This window comes from Homo sapiens, chromosome 4 (genome assembly GCF_000001405.40).
Source record: "Homo sapiens chromosome 4, GRCh38.p14 Primary Assembly".
NCBI lineage: Eukaryota > Metazoa > Chordata > Mammalia > Primates > Hominidae > Homo > Homo sapiens.
Genome location: NC_000004.12, coordinates 115,788,466 through 115,813,762, shown reverse-complemented (window position 1 = coordinate 115,813,762; position 25,297 = coordinate 115,788,466). Strand labels below are relative to the sequence as shown.

The window sequence follows — 25,297 nt, the reverse complement described above, 5'->3', positions numbered from 1 at the left end:
TTTTGCTTGTTAGTTGATGCAGTTTCTTCCTAGCCTTGATGGTCTTTAAAATTTGGCATATTTTTGCAGTGGCTGGTACCAATTGTTCCTTTCCATATTTAATGTTTCCTTCAGGAGCTCTTTTAGGGCAGGCCTGGTGGTGACAAAATCTCTCAGCATTTGCTTATCTGTAAAGTATTTTATTTCTCCTTCACTTATGAAGCTTAGTTTGGCTGGATATGAAATTCTGGGTTGAAAACTCTTTTCTTTAAGAATGTTGAATATCGGTCCCCACTCTCTTCTGGCTTGTAGAGTTTCTGCCAAGAGATCAGCTGTTAATTTGATGGCTTCCCTTTGTGGGTAACCTGACCTTTCTCTCTGGCTGCCCTTAACATTTTTTCCTTCATTTCAACTTTGGTGAATCTGACTATTACGTGTCTTGGAGTTGCTCTTCTCGAGGAGTATCTTTGTGGCATTCTCTGTATTTCCTGAATTTGAATGTTCGCCTGCCTTGCTACATTGGGGGAGTTCTCCTGGATAATATCATGCAGAGTGTTTTCCAGCTTGGTTCCATTCTCCCCGTCACTTTCAGGTACACCAATCAGATGTAGATTTGGTCTTTTCACATATTCCCATATTTCTTGGAGGCTTTGTTCATTTCTTTTTATTCTTTTTTCTCTAAACTTCTCTTCTCACTTCATTTCATTCATTTGTTCTTCCATCACTGATACCCTTCCTTCCACTTGATCGAATTGGCTACTGAAGCTTCTGCATTTGCTATGTAGTTCTTGTGCCATGGTTTTCAGCTCCATCAGGTCCTTTATGGACTTCTCTGCATTGGTTATTCTAGTTAGCCATTCGTCTAATCTTTTTTCAACGTTTTTAACTTCTTTGCCATGGGTTCGAACTTCCTCCTTTAGCTCGGAGAAGTTTGATCATCTGAAGCCTTCTTCTCTCAACTCATCAAAGTCATTCTCTATCCAGCTTTGTTCTGTTGCTGATGAGGAGCTGCGTTCCTTTGGAGGAGGAGAGGTGTTCTGATTTTTAGAATTTTCAGTTTTTCTGCTCTGTTTTTTCCCCATCTTTGTATTTTTATCTACTTTTGTTCTTTGATGATGGTGACGTACAGATGGAGTTTTGGTGTGGATGTCCTTTCTGTTTGTTAGTTTTCCTTCTAACAGTAAGGACCCTCAGCTGCAGGTCTGTTGGAGTTTGCCGGAAGTGCACTCCAGACCCTGATTGCCTGGGTATCAGCAGTGGAGGCTGCAGAACAGTGAATATTGGTGAACAGCAAATGTTGCTGCCTGATCGTTCCTCTGGAAGTTTTGTCTCAGAGGAGTACCCAGCCGTGTGAGGTGTCAGTCTGCCCCTACTTGGGGGTGCCTCCCAGTTAGGCTACTCAGGGGTCAGGGACCCACTTGAGGAGGCAGTCTGTCTGTTCTCAGATCTCCAGCTGTGCGCTGGGAGTACCACTACTGTCTTCCAAGCTGTCAGACAGGGACATTTAAGTCTGCAGAGGTTTCTGCTGCCTTTTATTTGGCTATGCCATGCCCCCAGACGTAGATTCTACAGAGGCAGGCAGGCCTCCTTGAGCTGTGGTGGGCTCCACCCAATTCGAGCTTCCTGGCCGCTTTGTTTACCTGCTCAACCCTCAGCAATGGTGGGCGCCCCTCCCCCAGCCTCGCTGCCGCCTTGCAGTTTGATCTCAGACGGCTGTGCTAGCAATGAGCGATGCTCTGGGTGCGTAGGACCCTCCGAGCCAGGTGCGGGATATAATATCCTGGTATGCCATTTGCTAAGACCGTTGGAAAAGCACAGTATCAGGGTGGGAGTGACCCGATTTTCCAGGTGCCGTCTATCACCCCTTTCCTTGGCTAGGAAAGAGAATTCCTTGACCCCTTGTGCTTCGCAGGTGAGGCGATGCCTCACCCTGCTTCAGCTCACACTTGGTGCGCTGCACCCACTGTCCTACTCCCACTGTCCGACAATCCCCAGTGAGATGAACCAGGTACCTCAGTTGGAAATGCAGAAATCATTCGTCTTCTGAATCACTCATGCTGGGAGCTGTAGACTGGAGCTGTTCCTATTCAGCCATCTTGGAACCGCCCTGGAAATACATTTCAAATACAATCATTATGGTCCTAAACATCTTTTACTGGGGCAGAGCAAGTTCCTGGAATTTTTTAGTGTACCATGCAAATGTGGAAGCCGGAAATTGACATGTATATCATGAAAGATTTGGGAAGAAAATAACTGCAGATTGTGATAACTTAAGTTTTTTTAAACATCTCTTTAGTAAAATGCTAATGAAAGCAAAAACAAAATGTTTAATTATAGAAATTGAACATGAGGATATTTATCCTCTCAGAATTGTATATTGCAAACTTTTAATATAAAGACTCTCTGAAAAATGGAACATAGACTTAGTAGCCATGAAACTTTATTTTTCCTCTTCATATATACTCAATTTACTCTGCACAATTTTAAAAAAAGTTTTAAGGAATACATGAATATATATTTCATAATTATATTGAACTTTTGAACAAACTGATATTTTAACTCACTCTGTATGACAGTTCAAGATTATTGCCTAATTGTGTCATTATTTAAATGTAATTTTTCATGTAAGTTTCTTATTCTGTTACTGACATCAAAGACATTAATCAAACTGTCTTAGTTGTTTTGAAAAATGACTTTGACATAAATTTTATCTAGTTTGTAGAGTGTTATATGAGGCATATGGGAGGCTATAAACAGAGGAGAGTTCCTTACTCTGCCTTATCCATAATCGTTGCTTGTCAACACTAGCATCTGTAGCATGTACTGATTGAACATATTTTTCCAAAGAAAAGTGAAGTAACAAATCCCACAAGATCAACAATGTTTAATGAGAATATTGGTATTTTAAATTAAGATTTACCCATCCAACATAAATATCTCATATAATTTTAGTTCACTGCAGAACTGTATGACTATCTTGCTATTCAAAATATGTATCTCTTCCCTAATCAAATTTTAGATGAATTAATATTGCTTACAGAATGATGTATCCTTTCCCTAGGTTGGCATTCAAATTCATCACACCCTGCATTGTTCCTCGTAAAACCTATTCTAATGCCACTAGTGTCAAATACATCTTAACTAGCATTGATGCTGCAATTAAATGTTTGTGTATACTTGTGCATGAGATTTAATTTTTTAATATTGTTCAATCAAATTTAAAATAAGAATATTATTGATTTGTATCAGAATTGTGGGTCTTATAAAAAATCTATTTTATGTATTAAATAAACTTTTAGTGCCCAGAGAAATTTCCTATTTTTAGTCAATGTCTTTTTCTTCATTTTTGTGGATGGATAGTATATATATACGTGTGTGTGTGTGTGTGTGTGTGTGTGTATGGAGTACATAAGATGTTTCAGTACAGGCATGCAATGTAAAACAAGCACATCATGGAGAATAGTGTATCCATCTACTCAAGCATTTATCCTTTGAGTTACAAACAATCACTCTTTAAGTTATTTAAAAATGTACAACTAAGTTATTATTGACTTTAGTCATCCTGTAGCACACTCAAATAGTAGGTCTCATTCATTCTTTCTATTTTTTGTACCCGTTAAAATTATCCCCACCCTCCCCGCAGACCCTCACTACCCTTTCCAGCCTCAGATAAATATCCTTCTACTTTATATCTCCATGAATTTAATTATGTTAATTTTCACCTCCCACAAATATGTGAGAACATGCGAAGTTTGTCTTTCTGTGCCTGACTTATTTCACTTAACATAATGATCTCCAGTTCCATCCATGTTGTTACAAATGACTGGATATCGTTCTTTTTTATGGCTGAATAGTACTGCATTGTGTGTATGTACCATATTTTTTTTTATCCATTCGTCTGTCGATAGACACTTAGATTACTTCCTAATCATAGCTATTGCAAACAGTGCTGCAACAAACATAGGAGTGCAGATATCTCTTCAATACACTGATTTCCTTTCTTTGGAGTATATATCCAGCAATGGAATTACTGGATCATTTGGTGACTCAATTTTTAGTTTTTTGAGGAAACTCCAAACTGTTCTTTAAATTGGTTGTAAAAATTTACATTCCCACCAACAGTATACAAAGATTCCCTTTTCTCCACATGCTTGTCATCATTAGTTATTGCCTGTCTTTTGACTATAAGCCATTTTAACTGGGGTAAGATAATATCTCATTTTAGTTTTGATTTGCATTGCTCTGATGATGAATGATGTTGAGCATCTTTTCATATGCCTGTTGTTATCTGTATATCTTCTTTGAGTGATGTCTATTCATATGTTCTGCCCATTTATCGATTGTATTATTATATATTTTTTCTATAGTTGTTTGACCTCCTTATACAGTCTGGTATTTAATCCCTTTTCAGATGGGTAGTTTGCAAATGTTTTCTCCCATTCTGTGGGTTATCTCTTCAGTTTGTTGATTATTTCCTTTGATGTGCAGAAACGTTTTTTACCTCAGTGAGATGCTTTTTACCCATTTTTACTTTTGTTGCCTATGCTTGTGGGGTATTGCTCAAAAATTTTTGCCCAGGCCAATGTCCTGGAGACTTTCCCCAATGTTTTCTTCTGGTAGTTGTATAGTTTGATGTCTTAGATTAAGTCTTTAATCCATTTTGATTTTATTTTTGTATATGGTGAGAGATAGGAGTCTAGTTTTATTCTTCTATATATGGATATCTAGTTTTCCCAGCACCATTTATTGAAGAGACTGTCCTTTGCCCAGTGTATGTTCTTTGCACCTTTGTCCAAAGTAAGTTCACTCTAGGCATGTGGATTTGTTTCTGAGTTATCTATTCTGTTCCTTTGGTCTATGTGTCTGATTTTATGCCAGTACCATGCTGTTTTGGTTACTGTTACTCTGTAGTATAATTTGAAGTCAGTTAATGTAATTCCTCCAGTTTTGTTCTTTTTAGTTAGGAAAGTTTGTGATATTCTGGGTCTTTTGTGGTTCCATGTAAAATATGGGATTTTTATTTCTATTTCTGTGAAGAATATCATTGGTAATTTGATAGAGATTGCATTGAATCTGTAGATGGCCTTGGGTAGTGCGGACATTTCAAGAATATTGCAGTCTTTACAGTCTAGATTGTCCTCTACGTTCATTAGAGACACAGGGCACTGTAGCCCACAGTGACGAGGCTTGTGGGAACTCAAGTTCAGACTGTTGGGATCCTCTGGCTAGGGGTGGCTTAAACACTGTTTCCCTGGGCGGACATCAGCTGAGTTTGGTCTGGTTTTCCTTTCTGTTTTACCAGGACAGCATTCAGTTCAACGCCTGACAGTTGATGTAATCTCCCTCCCCTAATGCCCAGAGACACTCTCCCCAGCTTGCAGCCTTGCCAGGGGCTGCGAGAGGGGTGGCATCCACATTTCAAGACTGTTTTGATCTATTTCTTCAGTGATACAAAGATAAAACCAAGTAGCATAATGGCTCACCTGATTTTTGGTTCTTCTGAAGTGTTTTTTTCTGTGTGGATAGCTGTTACATTGGTGTCCTTGAAGAGGGGACTATCAGTAGAGCCTTCCATTCTACCATCTTGCTCTGCTTCTCAGCCTAATGTCTTGTTTCTTGAACTAACTTTACCTGTAATACTTCTAGCTATTTTTCAAGGTTTAGGTCAAATTCCATCAACAACCAAAGGAACTACTCTCTTTTGTGCTCCCAGGAAAAAGGAATCTTTACTTACTCAACACTGATATCATTAATCAGTATAGAGTTGCCAGTTTGCTTGGGTCAGTCCCAGGTTATGCCTGTTGTATCTGTCAGCAGTTGTCCATAGCATCCTTTTTTACTCACAAAAGTAGCCAAGTAAAATGAGTAATTACACAGCCTCCTATTTTGTGTGATTCCAGAGCTACCTTCTATATCTTCTTTGGGTAAGAGTTATGCATTCATTTTTGTTTCTCTAATTAAATTGAAGTTTGAGGATAAGATTTCCCAACTTACATGTTTTCAGTTTTTTAATGTCTACACAGTGCCTTGGACATTTTGCAAAGTTAGCAAATACATGTTTACTGAACTATGTTGATTTTGGTTCATAATCGGCATATTTGGCACCATTCAAAATATTAAAGTGTTTTGACAGTACTTTTATAGCTGTGAATTCTGAATATGCATATCGAAAATATGCTCGTTCTTTATCCTTATTCCTATACTTAAAATAGATATATAAATGAGTGTAATAATATGAAAAAAGATAGATTTTTAAAATAACATATAATTTAGGAATAATTATTTACAAATATTTGTTTTCTTTCCATTTTCTACTAGATTCAGCAGATCCAGAGGCAATTTAAAACAATAACCCTGTGCTTTCATGATCTTAAAGTGAGGTAGATTGGCATTGAAAAATGTGTCATTCTTCCATAAATGGTAAATCTAAATAAATGTAAATAATACTAAATATAAATAATATATTTAAATTTGTATAATTGTTCCATTGGAACAGAACATACGACAGTGAAACTTGAGAAGGCATTCCTAAATGAGATATTATTTGCTAAGATCTGAAGAAATAGAGTTATGTTTCCATTAGCATAGTGACTTACATACCTTGGAAAATTCTTCCAGTTAGTTAAAAAAAAAAACTTGTGACAATATAAATATGGAGATATATTTGAAAGTCTGTTGCTCCTTAGCAAGAAAAGGAATAATCAGAAGCTATAAATTCAAGACAGGAATAAAGGGATTGAGTTACTAGAATGAGCTACTTACTTTAACAAACCCAAAATCTCAGACTGAAGGCATTAAAAGTTTCCCCCTGACCCCCCGAACCCCGCGAGACACTTCAATGTAATTGTTTGGTGGTGGAATCCATGTGGTAATTCTAAAAGCCTGATTCCTTCCATGTTGTGTAGACACTCATGAGGGACTTTGAGTCCACTGCAGGAGTTGCTATATCTAGTTTGGTAGATCACCTGGGAGATTTTTGAGGTTTAAGGTCTAGGACTGTGGTGCATCAGTTTCAACCATATCCCAATGGCAAGAGTTTATCACTCAGAGATAAAAGGAAGCTTGGAAAAGCTAGTTTCCAAGCAGCAACTCTGTGTTGTGAAAAAAAAAATTGTAAATATTTTCTGGTTAAAACTAGGTTTCCGTTTGTAGGTGTTTGACCTAAGTACTAAGGTTTGGACACTATTAGCTCATGATTTCTTTGGCAATGCAATTTCATCAAAAATGTTATGAGCTTTTCATTTCTGTTTCATATGTTTGCTACATGCATTTGTAACCACAAGCAAAGTCATTTCCTAGATTGATTTTTCAATTAATTGTGTGTTGCCTTACTCGCTTATCCTCATTCTTCACTCACTCTATCTAGTGACAGACAGCATCAGGCATGGGAAGAAAGGGTATATCATCATTTGATTTTTGATCCAGAGTTGACTCTTGGGTGGATTGTGTTACTCCAAACCTTCTTCAGTCTTATAACCATATTTGGGGCTTACTAATAGTGACCCTTTGCAACTCCGCTGACACAAAATTTTTGAACTCCATTCCATTGAACTTGTAAAATTTCCAAGTCCTTGGAGCTCAAAATTTTTAAAACATCTAATACATTGCTAAATGTACTGATTTGAATCAATACATATCTCACACACTATTTTTAACCTCTAGAGTTTTAGGTCAGCAGGCACTTGGTCTACCTTCCAACTTCTAATCATCACAGGCAAGTTTTTTCCAAGTGTTTTGCCATTTTTTAGCAGTCTATACTGTAGGTTATGTTGTAGAACGAAGCAATCTTATACTACAATGGAATAAGACCAATAACGTTTATATTTAACTCATGTTGTGTTCCAATGGCAATGTGGCTTTGAGTTCGGCTTTGCAACATTTTCACTCTGGGATCAAAGTTAGTAACACAGCTACTACCAAGAAGACTTCCAGCCATTGTTGTAGAAAGAAACCTAGCTTTGGAGAGTCTAGCACCAGCAAATACATGTTATGGTTCTGGAGAATATAACATTTTCACTTATAGCTCTCATTAGACAGGATTAATTCCATGTCCTCATCAAACCATAAAGAGACCAAAAAAGATTAACAAAGGGTTGTATGTAGGTAGCAAAGGGCTGAGCCAGAAATACTGGAGAAGAACAATAATGACTACTATAATAGGTCTCTATTTGCCCTAATTTTGTGACACAAGTCTTTCATGAAGTATTGGCTGATGTATGCCTACTACTTTTCACCTGATACAAAAAAATAACTCATTTATCATTATAACACATCAAGTGACCAATTTATGGATTAGATAAAGTAAGGATAGCACTGTTAATGTTAAATCTAAAACGTCAGTGACTTTGCAAAAAAAAGGAAGTTGTTCTTGTCCATTAAAAGCCAAATCAGTGGTGTGAGATCTCTGATTTAAGGTTATTATACAGAGACACACCCTAGCATCTTGTGGCTCTGTCACCATCTAAACATAGACACTGACCTAGGAGACAGAAGAGAATTATTAATCATGTGACAGATTTTTAATTTCATGGCCTCAAAGTTTTATATGTCACTTCTGCACATGTTCCATTGTTGAGAACTTAGTCACATAATCACACCTAAATAAATATACATGGGCAAATGTAATGTGGTCACATCCCAGTAACAATTTTATGTTCTACAAGGAGTACAAAATATTTGGTGCAGTATTATCTATCTGTATCCTAGATAGCTTCCCCTCTTAACTAAATGCTTGAAGTTTTGAGCTTCTCTTTTGAAGTCTGTACTGAAAAATAATTCCGAAGGTAATGCTTTTTCATGTTAAGGTAGGGGAAAACCTTATGAAAATGGAACGCCAAACAGAAACGTTTTTATTAGAACATTGAAGAAAAATATTAACCACTGTGAAAAATGTGTCTTAAAGGAATAAGCCTGCCCAACTCTTATATCAATTACAAGGGGAAAAAAATCTTAAGGTAATTTGTGGAGTAAACACATAAAATATCATGAACTAAACTCAAATTGCTTTTGTGAACTACTTACAAATAAAATTTATGAGAACCATTTGATTTAAATAAGTTGCTTAGCCACATTGACAAATGATTTGCAAATTCTCTCTGGAAAAGTACATCTTCAAATCAGACCTAGAAGGATCATAATAGATTAATTATCCAAGCTCTTGGACTCATCAAAAACACATATTATACAATCCAAATAGAATCATAAGTGAGCGGCAGCAGGAAAAATGAATGAACAGAAAACAGAAAAAGACCTATTCTTCCTTTTGGGAAGTTTTACAGAGAATACAATAGGGGTTAATTTATATTTAAATCAAAATTCTAAGCTTAAAGATGAACAAAAAGAAAGCATTAAAAAATAACTCCAAGATTTCAAAAAGAATAATTATAGAAATGTACAATATAATACGAACTATTAAAGCAGAAGAGACTCTTTAAAAGGCACACTAGATAAATTTTAAAAGAGAAATTGTGAGCTTGAAAAGAAAGATGTAAATACATTAATCAGTACCTTAAGAAAAGATGAAGGAATTGGTAAGCTACCTGGAAGATAATGTGACAAGGCTCATCTACACAATAATTTTATGCCAATAGAATATAATAGAATGGAAAAGAGATGGTTTTGCAAAAGATTTTAAACTTTTCCACAATTGCCAAGAGATGTGCAATATAAAATATGAATTTCAATTTTAGGCTCAAAGAAAAAGAGAAAAACACTAATGTAAAGAGAGAATAAAAGTACAACTAGAGAAAAATGATTACCTAATCAAATTTTTTAAAAATCATTAAAAGGAACAGGTCTTTCTCAATAGCACCCATAGGAATAAGAAAACACACACACACACACACACACACACACACACACAAATGCACAGACTTTTTTGAGATGAAATTCTGTAAATATACAAGTTTAGACCAAGGAAACTAGCTTTTTAGAAGCAAGCACATAATTAATATATTTTTTATTTAACAGAAACATAAGAACATTTATTACTAATCTACTTTCATTGTATAAAAAGGAAAATATTCCACAAGGGTTGTCTTAGGAAACCCAATAAGAAAACTGATAAACAAAAAGGTAAATGCAAGCAAACATTAAACAAAGCAATAATAATTATTATATCTAATTTTTTATTTAAAAATAGTACCACATTTACTTATTGAACAGCCATAATTTTGGAGGGTGGGCTATTAGCTTTAAAATATTCTACAGACTTTGTATTATTTAGCTAAGTATAAAAATATTGATAAAATTACACCTGGTAAAATGTTATTTTAAATTATATACTATTAAAATAATGGGCAAAGTACAGGGAACATATTGAATGAGATCAATATTAAAAGATAAGTGGTAGTTCACTAAAGTGAGGTGGTGGGAAGCACTAGAATGGGAAGAGAACATTTCAAAGAAAATAATTTACGCCACGGTCTTGTGGTAGAAGAGATGTCACCTTTTATGAGCAATAAAGAGAGTAATTTTTCATAAATGACAGTTCATTTCAATTCAGAACAACATCTATGGGGAACAGGTAGAAAAGTTGGATGGCAACACACATAAATCCCCCCAACTGCCCCCTTAACCACCTCCACTGAGTGCGCATGCGCGCGCACACACACACACACACACACACACACACACACACACACACTCTCTCTCTCTCTCTCTCTCTCTCTCTCTCTCTCTCTCTCTCTAGGTGAAAGTGTTAGAGAACCACCAAGGCAACGAGGACATGAGAGTCTGGAATCCTGGGGAGTAGAGAGGCATCAAGGGAAACATTACTTGTTTGGAAGTACTGTCCTTTATTTGTTAATTTTCCTGTGTGGGGCCAAAAGAATAAGAAGCAGAATAGAAATCTGCAAGAAGAGGATTGGGATACTGAGAGACATGTTTTGGAGTTTTACACAACATGACTATGCCCACAAAATAGTTTAGAGTTAAAGCAGCTAGGATTTGAGAAGTAGCATTTTTGGCAATAAGTGAAGAACACTGAAGTAAGCCTTACATTTTGCTTCATTTTTTTCCACTAAATTTTTAAGAATGAACCAAAGGACCAAAAACTTACCAGGAAGTGGTAGCTAAGAGAATTCAAAAACTGGAATTCAAGGTTCACCAAATAGTAGAGATATTGGCAAACACCATATCCTGAATTTCAATTTAAGGTTTTATTAAGAATACAACCAAGAAGTAAGGTAGAATCTGCAATAAACCAGTCTTTACAAAGGCTGAAATACAGCTTCAGATTGACTTGGTTCCATATGTTGATCTGTACTTTCTGTAATGGCATGCTAGAAAACATAATTAAACCTTTGGAAGAAGGTAATATTGGACAGGCTTCAAATTATCTCTCCATTTTTCATACAAATATTCAGTTTTAATAAAAAAAACTACCAATCATGTTAGTGGACAACTTCAAATGACAAGACAAAAAAAAATAAGGAGAGGAGGAGGAGGAAGAAGAGGATGTGGAGATAAGATAATGTGGTTAGCATGCATGAGTTTTAAAATAATATGATTAATTTTTTCAGGAAATAGATGACAAAATGGAGAATGGAGACTTTCACCATTTTGGTTTCACCAAATTACTGGGATCCAAAAAAGGGGACCACAAATAGTGGGTACAGTGCTAACTACTACCCTACTACCAAAAAAAAAAAGGAGAAGAAGAAGAAGACAATTCCATGGAAAATGGAAAATTTAGACTTGAAAAATAACATAATTAGTATTAAATTTCAATTGAGTCCAGGTGTGGTGTCTTATGCCTGTAATACCAGCACTTTGGGAGGCCAAGGCAGGTGGATCACGAGGTCAGGAGATCGAGACTATCCTGGCTAACACGGTGAAACCCCCTCTCTGCTAAAAACAAAAAATTAGCCAGGCGTGGTGGTGGGCACCTGTAGTCCTAGCTACTTGGGATGCTGAGGCAGGAGAATGGTGTGAACCTGGGAGGCAGAGCTTGCAGTGAACTGAGATTGCGCCACTACACTCCAGCCTGGGCGACAGAGCGAGACTCCATCTCAAAAAAAAAAAAAATTCAATTGAACAGTGACATTATACAATGAAAGAGAGAATTTGTGACTAGAGACATAAAGCAACAGAAAATATATAGTTCATTATGTGAAGAGAGAAAAAAGAGAAAAAAGCATATGAGTCATGTTGACTCCAGAATAACCTTGATTTAAAAACCTGCTAAAATATTTCAAAAATGAAAATTTCAGGTCAATTGCATTTGCAAACATGGATAAAAAAATCTTAGGCAAAATATTAGCAAACAGAATCCAAAGACATACCTAGGATTTCTGTTTTCAAAGTCAATAAATATAATTCACACATTAACAAAATATAAAGAACAAACATATGATGTCCAAACATCATATGATGACCAAATTTCATATCCATCATGACTAAAACTCTTAGAAAACCAGAGACAAAAAGAAACTTCCTTAACCTCAATACAGAACATTTACATAATAAAATATGCAAATGGTCAATAAGCATATGAATATCTGTACTACATCAATGGTAATAAGGAGAATGCAAAGTAGAACTATTCTAACGTATTTCTACATACTCATCAGGCTACAATTAAAAATACTAAAGTACTAAAAGCAGGAAAAGTTGTGAAATAACAGAAGCTTTTATCTACTTCTAAATTAGTACAACCACTTTAGAAAACAGCTTTTCAGCATATATGAAAGGGAATGTATAAATACACTATGTCCCCAGAGTTTTATACCTGCTTTCATAGATAACACAAACCCATGGATACATGTATCAAAAGACATGTGCAAGAAGGCTAGCTATAATATTAACTGTAGTAATTAAAAATACAAAAGTAACCCAAATGCTCATTAACCATCTACTGACAAAATAAATAACTTATTTTATACAGAAGACATAAATCTAATCTTGAATAAAATTTGCCAGAAATAAAATAAGACATAATATATGGTTCCATTTGCATATATTTCAAACTTAAAGAAAATTAATCTATCATGCATATACAAGGATAGTTACTTTTCAGGAGAGAGTGAGATGAGTAGGAGAAAGGATGAGAGGTTTTCTGGGTTGCACTTAAGGTCTTTTTCTCAAGAATATTCTGGTTGCTTACATGTAATCACTTCATGAACATTTATCTAGGTGTGTATTTATGACCCGCTCATGTTTCTGAATGTACTATTAGACTTTAATAAGTGAGTTTATATAACATAGCGTTGCTCACAGTATCACATTGTGAGAATCTGCTGGGAAGACAATTAGAGGGCCTATCACACAGCACTTCATGGGACAAATATTAAAGACTTTTTTTTATGGCTGAGGGCATTGAAGAGCCATTTAAATGTTTTAATGAAGGGCTTATTTTTCAGATAACATTTGCACTTTGGAATTCTGAATGCAGAAATGGAGAATTGACTGGAAGCAAAAAAAGGAGGTTCAACAGAATAACTAATATTCTAGAAGACACATGAAAATATCTTGGACTAGTTTGTGTGTGTGTGTATCTACATAACAGGGAGACAGGAGAGAAGGGGGTTGCATTGTGAAGATAAATGTGAAGATTTAATAGACATAATATGGTTCAGTTTGATAGAGTTTGATGTTGAGCTTAAGTTTGATGGAGTGGAGAAGGACAAAAGTAAATTACTGTCCTGTATAACAGAATAGTTACACATGTCTTTTGAGTGTAAGTCTTTTTCATCCTTTAGAATGTTGTTTGTGAAGTGTTTTTAAGATAAACAGAGATACCAAACAGCATATTCCATCATGAGCTCTGAGGAGATAACTAAAATGATGATATACATTTGTAAGTTTTCTTTCAATAAAGTAAATCTCAAAACCTAAGATTTGGATAAGATCAAGGAAGAAGGTATAGATTGAAAAGAGAAGGTTTTCTAGGTCTGACCTGGAGAAACTCAATTTACCGTGGTTTTATTATTGAAACCGGATTTGCACAGGAGACTGAATGGGTGGTCAGTGAGGTAGAAAAAATGCATGAGAATATTGTAAAAGAAAAAACAAAGTACATAGAAATAAATGAATGGGTGGGGGGATTAACACTCTGGGTAGAATGAGATTTGGACTTAGTAACACAGAGGCTATGGCTTTGTTTAGTAGTGGGAGCTGCTTAGGTTATTAATAGAGACAGAAGCCAGTTCCAATGAATTGCCAGACATGTTGGTGACAAAATAAAAACAATAAGAATAGGCACACGTTTTGAGAGTGTCAGTCATGAAGGAAAGCTTAGTATAGGTTGACAAAAGGAAGAAATAGGATTCAGAAGTTTTGTTGCTGCTGCTACTGTTATTGATTTTTGAAATAAGGAGAACTGAGAAGATGCTTTTAAAAATGAGAAGAATCAAATTGAGAGAACCTGATTGCATGTTGAGAGAAAGAATAGATAATAAGCACTGGGATAGAAAATAGTTCAAAGAGATCCAAAGCACAGATTGAGGCATTCTCCTTTCAAAGAGGAAGAGGCACTCATCTGCTGTAGCAGGTGGTTAGATTCTAAATCAATGGGTTTTTCAACTGAAAAAAAAGACACTGCCAACCAATTTTTGAATGAATTTTAAATATGACATTTTAATATACAATTTATATCCAAATTTTATGTTCTATAAAATTGTCAAGAAGAAAGCATGTGTATTCAAAACTGCTAAAATAACATTACATAAATAATTTTAAAAGCATTTTTGCTATATTTACTTAGTGTAAGGCATATTATTTACCTATATTATTTGTCAATCATATTACATACTCCTCACAGTAGTTTATTTAAAAGTGTTGTTTTTATTAGCATTTGTATATAGCTTAGATATTTCAAATTTTATGGGTGAAACACCTGGAAATGAAGCAAGATAACTTCTAGGCATTTAGTTCTTTTAATGAACAGAAGATAAAAATATTTTGTATTTTCACAATTTTAATAAGATGAAGTATAGTATTTAAGCTAAAAGAATATTAGGATCCCATTTATAGGTATAAGTGTTAATTTACATGAAAATAAATGTATTTAAAAGAGGAGATTTGTTTGTAGCTCCATAATCCACTTTCTTTCTAGCCTTTCTTTAGTGGATTTTATGTTACTGATATAACAAATCATATTTGAATTATCTGATTTCTAAATTGGGAAGGTACAGCATCATGCTGAAAGGGCAATGTTTGCTTCTGCAACTACGAAATTGTCTAAATAATTATAGTACTATATTCCGATGCTAAAATATTACATCCCCATTTTCTCTGTTACACTCAGATGTTTTAATATATCTACAATCAAGATACATGTAGGAGAGACATCATCAGAAACTTTACAACTGCCAGTTAGAGGACATAAATTATTTTAGGCCAATATTTCTTCGATTATGAGTTTTTGAAGTATAGGCCAGATGGATGTGATTTATTCATGCTTCCAGATAATCACCAGAAACTTGCAAGGATATGCAGTAAACTATGGAGGTGGGGGAATTACATAAATGTAACCAAATATACAAAGCAATGTACATGAATACAATACTTTTAAATATGTATTACAATTGTGCTAACAATCTCAAAGGCATACAAAATTCAAGACTGCAAGTATTGGTTTTAGAAGACAACATGTTAATATACTATGATGATGCAAAACTGCTTATGTACTCATGTGATACAAAATAATCACTTCCTCAGTGAAGAAAATTGAGACTTAATTTCTTCTCATAATGCTGAATAAGTAAGTAGTAAATAAATGCTATCTTCAATTAATTTTAACCTCTTTAAAGCTTCTATGAAATAATTTTGTTTTTTTAATAGAAAGAATCTAGAATATGAAATATAGTATGGTCACTTACATTATGGTTTGACTTACATTATGGTTTTTCAATATATGATGGTGTAAAACTGATATGCATTCAGTAGAAACTCTACTTTTAGTACTTATACAACCACTGTTTTTTAACTTTCAGTACAGTGTTCAATAAATTCCATGAGATATTCAGTACTTTATTATAAATGGTATTTATGTTATTTGATTTTGCCCAATTATAGGCTAGCTAATATAAGTGTTCTGAGCACATTTAAGTTAGACTAGGCTAATATATGATATTTGGTAGGTTAGGTGCATCAAATGCAATTTCAACTTATATTATTTTCATCTTATAATGAGTTTCTTAGGATGTAATCCCATCTTACATCAAGGAGCATCTGTATTTTATTTCCTTTGTTTGAAATGTGTGATTACTAGCATATCCAAGAAATTAGTGGACTAAGCAGGAGAAGTCAAACAAAATTATGATGATTTTTTATGTATGAACTTAGCCTCTATAGAAACGAATAGAAAATTGTAATATATTTATCTCTACCTATGAGCAGCCTACTTAATTTTAAAGTTTATCATACAGATATCATTACTTTAAATGTGTGTTACTATGTAAAAAAAATAAGAAAAAAGTTGGTTTTTAGCTGCAAATGGGAATTATTTAGATGTAAGTAAAGGAAAATTCAATTTGTATAGGCTATAAAAATAGTTGTATATTGGCTAACTGAAAAGTCTATATCCTGGGTCAACTTTATGACAACACTCATCCATATTTAACAATGTCAGAAAAAGACACACTTTTAAAATTATTTGTCTTGTAGAATATGTTCATCTTAAGGCTGGCTTTCTTTATGGTGGAGGATGACAGCCAACAGTCTATTGTGGTGGCATTCATTCTTCTTCATATCTTGCCGTGTGCCTTAGAATATTAATCAAGATTCTTTCCTGGGAGCCACAGTCAGTTTTTCTTGATGTCTCTTTCAACAAAATAAGCTTAACATCACCCTTTAACCAATCACTTTGGATAGAGGATGAGAGGTGTTAAACTGGATCTGGCCAAAAGCTTCTTCTATATCTTGAGTCCATACGTAACAAATTGCAACCTAAATTAGTATATCAAGAAACTGTAACTTAAGAGTTTATTATTTTAACAAATAGTTGTTTTAACCAATCACAGTAGCTAAGCTTCAGACAACCACAGGCTGCCAACTGATCAGATCATACTGAAATAAGGCAAATGTCAAGCTGTAACCAATCAAGATAATTCTGTAAGTCACTTTTCTTTTTTCTGTTTATAAATACTTCCTACCCACATTCCTGGGTGGAAATCTATGAACTTATCCTGTTCAGAGTGCTGCCTGATTCCTGAATTTGTCTTTGCACAAATAAACTCTGATAAACCTAACTTGTCTAAAGTTTTTCTTTTAAGAGAGGCACTAATTAGATTTTTTTTCAAACAAAAATAGGTTTCTCAGGGAATTCCAAAGAATCATATAGCCAATTTACTAAAAAGCATGTGGAATTCTTGGAAGAAGGTAGAATACCTAAACTAAAATTCTGTTACAATGTAATTAGTGAATGTCACTGAACCCAAACCGGACAATGTAGCATATTTACCCTGACATATAGAATTACAGTTAAAGTTTATTTATACTGCAGAAAAAGATTAAAAATATAGATTAGGCTGACGAGCAATTTTTTTATTTGCCAACTATCAAAAAGATCTCAATTAAGCTTATGGTTTATCTACTAATAAATCTGTATGTAACTGTGTGTGTGCTAACTGAAAAAGAGAAGAAGATGTTTCATCATCCCTTTTTAATAAATAAAAAGTGATCAAAATAATAAAAATGAATAATAAAATGTGATCCAAATAATAAAATAATAAAAACTGATCAAAAATTCAGCTGAAAGATACTTTCATATAAATGTGGTAATAAATAGGCCTTGATCAATATGCATTCCTTTATGTTAGGAAAGTTTGCATTTTGGAATTTTAATATTTAATTTTGAATAATTGATAAAATTATGAAATATTTATTTCATGTTCTTTGATGTTGCTGATTGGAATATTGGAATATAATTTTCCAATCTGATGTTTCCTTTGCAAGGCTAACTTAAAAATTTCCTCTTTTTATTTTTCTCTATTCTAGAAATTACTTTTTGCTCTGAGAGAGAGGTATTATTAAAGGTATTATTAAAGAGGTATTGCAAAAATGTCAGACAAGCCAAACGCCCATCAGTCAATGAGTTGATAAAGAAACTGTGGTATATATATATGATGGAATACCACTCAGCCATAAAAAGGAATCAATTAATGGCATTTGCAGGGACCTGGATGAGATTGAAGACTATTATTCTAGGTGAAGTAACTCAGGAATGGAAAACCAAACATTCTACATTCTCACTCATAAGTGGGGGCTAAGCTGTGAGGATACAAATGCATAAGAATAACACAATGGATTTTGGGGACTCAGTGAGAAAGGGTGGGAAGGGATTGAGGGACAAAAGACTACAAATTGTGTGCTATGTGTACTGCTTGGGTGATGGGTACACCAAAATCTCACAAATCACCGCTAAAGAACTTACTCATGTAACCAAACACCACCTGTTCCCCAATAACCTATGGAAATAAAAATAAAAAAAAATCACACTTCTTTGATGGACAAGCTTTGGTACCAAACACAAAGGGGAACCTTAATAAACCAGACTGGAGCAATTGTGAAATTCCTTTAACATGATAGAGGTTGCTAACAGTACAGATCAGAAAAGGTCAAAGTGATTTTCAATAAAGAAAATTCAAGACCAGCAGAGCCAAAGTTTCTCCTCTATCAAGAGCCAGATGTTCAAGACCTTCTTAAACTGAGAAGTGAGCTCATGTTTTCTCATCAACCAAAAAATTATTCAAAGGAGAAAAACCATAAGACACAGAAAGAAAAAGAAACCTGCTCTTATAGAACCCCTATTCACATATACACTTAACAAGTAACTGGTAATAACCTTATAAAAATGTTTAGTACTTTTTTTAAATAAATGAGACCATATTTTGCAGTAAAAAGGTCAAGTTCTCTTTGGTTAATGTCTGTAGCCTCTGATCAGGAAGTTATATCCTAATTAGAGGTCTACCACAACCTTGGTACCAAGTACTATTTTTTTTTAAAAAAAAGACTGTCAAATCTAATTCCTGTGCACACATAACATGTATTATCAATCTGGCACTGAAATTAATATAAACATGCTTTTGCAAACTTGTGAATTAGAAGCTGTTCATATATTAAGCCTTCTCATAAACAGTCTTAATAAAATGAATAGTATCTTTATTGCTGATGAATTACTTGTCTTGAAAAAAAAAGAAATAAAAATAAAATATTTTTTGAATAAAATACTCTGGTGTTATTTCATTAGGAAAATGTATTTTTAATTACTCAAGGTCCACACACATACACACACATGCACACACACATTCTTATTGACAGTAACCAAGTAATGGAAAGACAATGAAAATAATGTATATTTAAAAACATTTCAAGTGTTGGAAATATATAGCTGAACTGCTCAACACATAATAATTTTACAAAAATTCCATTTTTGTAAAATTAAAATGTTAAACTTTTAAAATAAGGTAAAGTTTATTTTTAAAGTTTCAAAAAAATGAAACAAAGATTAGATAGAAAATTGGTGAAATTTCAATTATCACCAAGCAAATTATTAGTTGTAAATTGTCAATTTTTCTTTTCCTTCTTCAGTATTGCCTCCTATATATGTTGTATGCCTGAAAAAAAAAATCTTAAAAATGTAAGAAATTTTTAACTGGTTTGCTTATTTTTTCAAAATAGTTTATATACGTGCAGCAGGAAATTTTAAAAAGTTTAAATATAAACACATCTTTCCATAAGAAAAAAAAGTGTTAACATTTCCCTTGATATTTGAAATAATTTAGCCAATTTTGCAATCATATATTTTAGTATTTATTTTAAATGTCACCATGAAAATGTTAATTTTGATATTTTACTTATTATATGTAATATCTTGGGATACATATTTTTAGTTCTAGAAGATGAGTAACTTAGAAATAAAATCCATGTATTTTAATTTTATACTTATAACTACCAAGTTATTTCTAACCTCAAAATTCAGGTACTTTATACTACATTATACTGTGAAAACTGTGCTTGTAATAATGGTCTTGGCCTTCAATTTTTTAGAATTTTATTTGCAAATCATTGACTCGAATGGTTTTAGCAAATAAAAATACAATAAACATGGCTTCAAGCTTTTATACCAAGTCTGACATCTAATGATAAATATTAATCTAAAACTTTCCTTATTTTTTTCAGAATGTTTTGCAGCCAAATGGATTTTTTTGAAAACCATTATTTTATACATTGATTCAAGCAAAAAATCACCTTTCATATACCCCTTCAGTTTCCATATACACTCCATAACCTCCAATATGATCGTCTTATACTATTTATGCAGATTCCATTTTTTTTTTTTTTACTATCATGTCATGGAAACAATATTTTGGTCTTTAATTTTCATTTTCTCAATAAAGTTTTCTTAGATAATTTCTTGAATTCTGAAATTAGAGAAGCTAATTCAAATGTATGATGAGTTAAGAACATCATAAATCCATACCTTTCATTTCTATTTTTATTTTTTGTACGGATATTTAGCAATGGTAATTTTGAGACAATATTTTCACCTTCATTTTATAATCCAGCAAGATGATATTAATGGATTGAGTGCAGAGAAACATAATGAAGAATGGTAACATTTCCACTTGATAGAAAGCTAATTTTAATAAGTTCTAAATTAATGATATTTGATTAAAAAATTTCCAGTGATTATTTTGAGTTTGTCCATATAAATTTGAGACTAGCTCTATGATTATATAAACATTAATCTGATTCAAAATGTTTCTGTATAGCATTAGATTTACTGGTCAAAAGGTAGTTCAATAGTAGGAGGAATCTACCTCAGTATACTGAAACTGAGTATAATTAATGAAACCAAAAGATAATTTGTGAATAAATTGTTTTTTCTACCTTGAAATTAAGTGACGATTTACATGGCCTTTCCAACTCGGTGGAATAAGTGAACTCCAATTATAGTACAACTTCAGTTGAAATTATTCTTGGCCTCACAGCTGCTCTCATATGGTATGTGTTATTTAATTTTTTTTCATAAATGATGATTGATGATATAGCAAAAAACAAAAAATCTAAGCATTTAATTTAAAAAAGATAATGGGACATCATCAAACCAATGAATAGTATAATTTTATATAAAAATGTTAATTGTTTAGTTTAAATTTTAGCTCAAGAGTAGAATTGGAAGATTCAAGAAAGATAACAGAGTAGGAAACACAGGAATCTGTCTCCCCACCTAGACGACTGCAGTGGCCCAATCTATCTGATAAAACTCTTTTGGAACTATAGAGTCTTGTACAGGTTTGAAACTTCCGGGAATAGTCTTGGATGGTAAATTACAATTAATTTTGGTCAAGTTTAGGTTTTAGTACAGGAGCAGCTAACCATCCCTCATCTTCAGCACCATGACAGGCAGCCATACCTGTGTTCCATGAGAAGCTCATATGTAGCTTACAGAAGCCAGGATATATCAAAAGCATGCTGTTCTCAAAATATTAGAGACAGGTGTGCAGATTCCAAATTGCTCTTTCCAATCTCAGAAGGGTAGACAAAAAGTTCGGTGGCTATTTTTGTTGTACCCTACCCCTTTTTTGTAAGCCTCTGCACCTCTGCCTGAAGTAACTTCCAGAGGATTTAAAGAGCTAGTGTTTTTCCCTATCCTCCATTAATGTTTATCTCTGTACCTTTTGGGAGCCAGACAATAAACATGAGAACATTCAAAAGTAACTACATATGTGAAGAAAATAAGAAAGATCTCACATGCCCAAGGACTAGTGCAGGCTCAGGGAAGATATGAGAAGACCTGAAGTTTACACCTCAGACTACTCTTCAGCATAAAGACAGCCTACAATAATGAAAAAGACAAAACAAATACACAAAAAAGAGCAATCCCTGGGAAAGACGGACAAGCTAACTTTCAGAGTTACTATCACCAAGTTGTTAGATTTAAATGCTCAGTTTTTTACAAAAATTTATAAGACACACAAAGGAACAGAAAAGGTCAGTCTATCCAAAAGAAATAAATACATCAGCAAAAACTGATTTTGTAAAAGAACTTATAGGAAGACTTTAAAACAACACTCTTAAAAATGCTTAAAAACTAAAGAATGTTATGAAGAAAGTCAGGAAAACAACGTATGAACAAATGGAAATATCAAGAAACGGATGGAAAACTTAAAAATAAACCAAAAAAGTAATTCTGGAATGAAAATAGAGTAACTAAAATGAAAGAACTACAAAAAGGTTGGAAGCCAGATTTGAGCTGGTAGAAGAATAAATCACCAAACTTGAAGACGGGACAATCAATAAGCCAAAGGGGTGAATATAAAATTATTAAAAAAGCAAAGCTATGTTTGTTATTGAAGTTGAGTTGGTAGATAAATTTAGTATGTTAAATTTAACTCCCATTTTAAGCACAGAAACCTATAACATATATACAAAAGTAAATGAGAAAAAAGTTTAAACATTTCACTAGAAAAAATCAACTAAACACAAAAGAATACAGTAATTTAGAAAAAGAGAGCATAAAGAAAACAAACATAAAATAAATAAATAAATAAAAAAGAACCCTGTATGATCAAAAGAAAAAAAAAAGAAAACAAACAAATGACAAAGGTAAGTCCTTCCATCTCCGTAATTACTTAAATAAATATAAATGAATTAAACTATCTAATAAGAAGTCTGAAATTGGAACAATAAATTAAAAAATTATGAACCAAAAATATGTTGTCTCCAAGAGATTCACTTTAAATGCAAAGACAAAAGTAGATTGAAAATGCAAGGATGGAAAAAGGTTTTTTTTTTCTAATAGTAGCCGAAAGGGGGCAGGAGTGGCCATACTAATATCAGAAAAAAAAAAGACTTTAAAAAGAAATTTACAGGAGATAAAAAAGATCTTTCATTTTATATTAATGAAAGATCCAATAAAGCAAGACGATATAACAATTATAACATTTATGCATTGAATCACAGACTATTAAATATATAAAGCAAAAACTGACAGAACTAAAGAGAGGAATGGACAATTCTACAATAGCAGTTGGATACTTCAATACTCCATTCACAATAATGTATAGAATAATCAGATAAGTAACAAAATAGAGGATTTAAACAAAGCAATAAAACAAACTTGACACAACAGATATACACAGAACATGCCACCCAATAATAATAATATAAACATTTTTCTGAAATACACATGGGGCATTTTTCAGAACACACCATACATTATACCATAAATTTAGTCTCAATATATTTTACAAGATAGATAGGACACAAAGTATCTTCTCTGATCACAATAGGATAAAGTTAGAAGTAAAAACTGGAAAATTCACAAATTTATGGAAATTAAGCAATACACTTGAACAACCAAGTAACAAATGGATTAGAGGAGTAATCATAAGGAAATCAGAAAAACTTAGAAACGAATAAAAAATAATTTTAAAAGTCAAAACTTATGCAATGCAGCAAAAGCAACCCTAAGGGGAAAATTTATATCTATAAACATTTACATTAAAAAATCAGCAACGTCTCAAATCAAACACTTAAGAAGTTAGAACAATAAGAATAAACAAAACCCCAAACTAGAAGAAGAAAAAAAAGAATAAAAATTTAGAAAAGAGATAACAAAAATAGAGAAGAGAAGAAACAATTTAAAAAATCAATGAAACCAAAATTTGGTTCTCTGAATGAATCAAAAAGACTGACAAACCTTCACTTAGATGGAAAAAGTAAAAATACAGAGAAGATGCAAATTATTAAAAGTATTATTTAAAATTATCATAGTGAAGATGTTACTACTGTTTCAAAAGAAATACAAATATTATGAGAGCACTATGACAAATTATATGTCAATAAAATCATAAGCTAAATGAAGTGGACAAATTCCTGGAAACACAAAACCTACGAAGAATACATTGCAAAGAAATAAACAATCTAAATAGACCTATAACTAGTAATGAGATTGCATCAGCGATCAAAAATCTCCTTACAAAGAAAAGGAAAATCCTACTGTGCCTGATGGATTCATTTTTAAATTCTACCAAGTATTACTACTACTACTAATGATAATAATAAACTAACACCAATTATTGTAAGAAATCGAAAAAAAAAAACTGAAGAAGAGAGAACATTTCTTACCTACTATGTGAGGCCAGGATTCTCATGATACCAAAGTCAAAGATACTACAAAAAATGAAAACCACATACCAGCATTCCCTGTGGGATTTGTTGAAAAAATCTTCAACAAAATACCAGCAAAGCTAACTCAGCAGCCTTCTAAAATATCCATACATCATCACTGTGATGGTTAGTACTAGGTGTCAACTTGGTGGATTGGGGGATGTCTAGAAGGCTAGTAAAGTATTGTTTCTGAGTGTGTTTGTGAGAGTGCTGCCAGAGAGGATAGAAATTTGAGTAGTGAACTGGGAAAGAAAGACCTACCCTTAATTTGGGTGGGTACCATCCAATCAGGTGCCAATATGGCTAGAACACAGCAGGTGGAAGTGGGGATAAGCTTGTTTGCCAAGTCTTCTGGTTCTCTCTGTCTTCCCATGCCACACACTGGCTTCCTCTCCTTCTGCCCTTGGGCATTGAAATCCAGTTTCTTCAGCATTTGAACTCTGGAACTTGTATCAGCAGCCTCCAGGGAGCTCTTGGTCCTTTGGCTTCTAAGGGCTGCACTGTCACCTTCCCTCTTTTTGAGGCTCTGGGACTGGATTGAGCCATGCTACTGGCTTCTCTCTTTTCTGAGCTTGCAGAAAGCCTATCGTGGGACGTTGCCTTGTAATCATGTGAGCCAATTCTCCCTAATAAACTTATATATTATAATATATAAGAATGTATATATATTATATATGTATTATATATTATATATGTATTATTATATATTATAATATATAAGAATGTATATATATTATATATGTATTATATATTATATATGTATTATTATATATTATATATTTATTATTATATATTATATATAAAACATATGACATATAATATATGTTATATGTTATACAAGGTATATATAATACATATCATATGTAAGATATATATATCCTATAAGATATATATATCCTATTGGTCCTATCTCTCTGAAGAACCCTGATTAATATAATCACCAAGGGGAATTTATTGTAATAAAAAGGCAGTTGAATATACAATAATTAACCAGTGCACTACAAGAAATTCACAAATTATGGGGGGAAAAGCAAAGTCTATAATTACTGCAATAGATGTAGAAAAAGCTTTTGACAAGATTTACTACCCTAATCAATACACTTAACAGACTAGGAATGGAAGGAACCTATCTCAACATAATAAAAGCTATATATAAAAACTCAGCAAACATCGTATCCAATTGTTAAGGATTGAAAGT

General features: G+C 33.2%; 1 annotated feature.

Annotated features, from left to right (window-relative positions):
- Positions 1,663-2,163: an enhancer, noted in NCBI's record as "H3K4me1 hESC enhancer chr4:116732756-116733256 (GRCh37/hg19 assembly coordinates)". NCBI's record gives its function as "activates a minimal SCP1, AML or CMV promoter by ChIP-STARR-seq in primed H9 embryonic stem cells {active_cell/tissue: H9 hESC(primed)}" and the evidence as "EXISTENCE:reporter gene assay evidence [ECO:0000049][PMID:30033119]".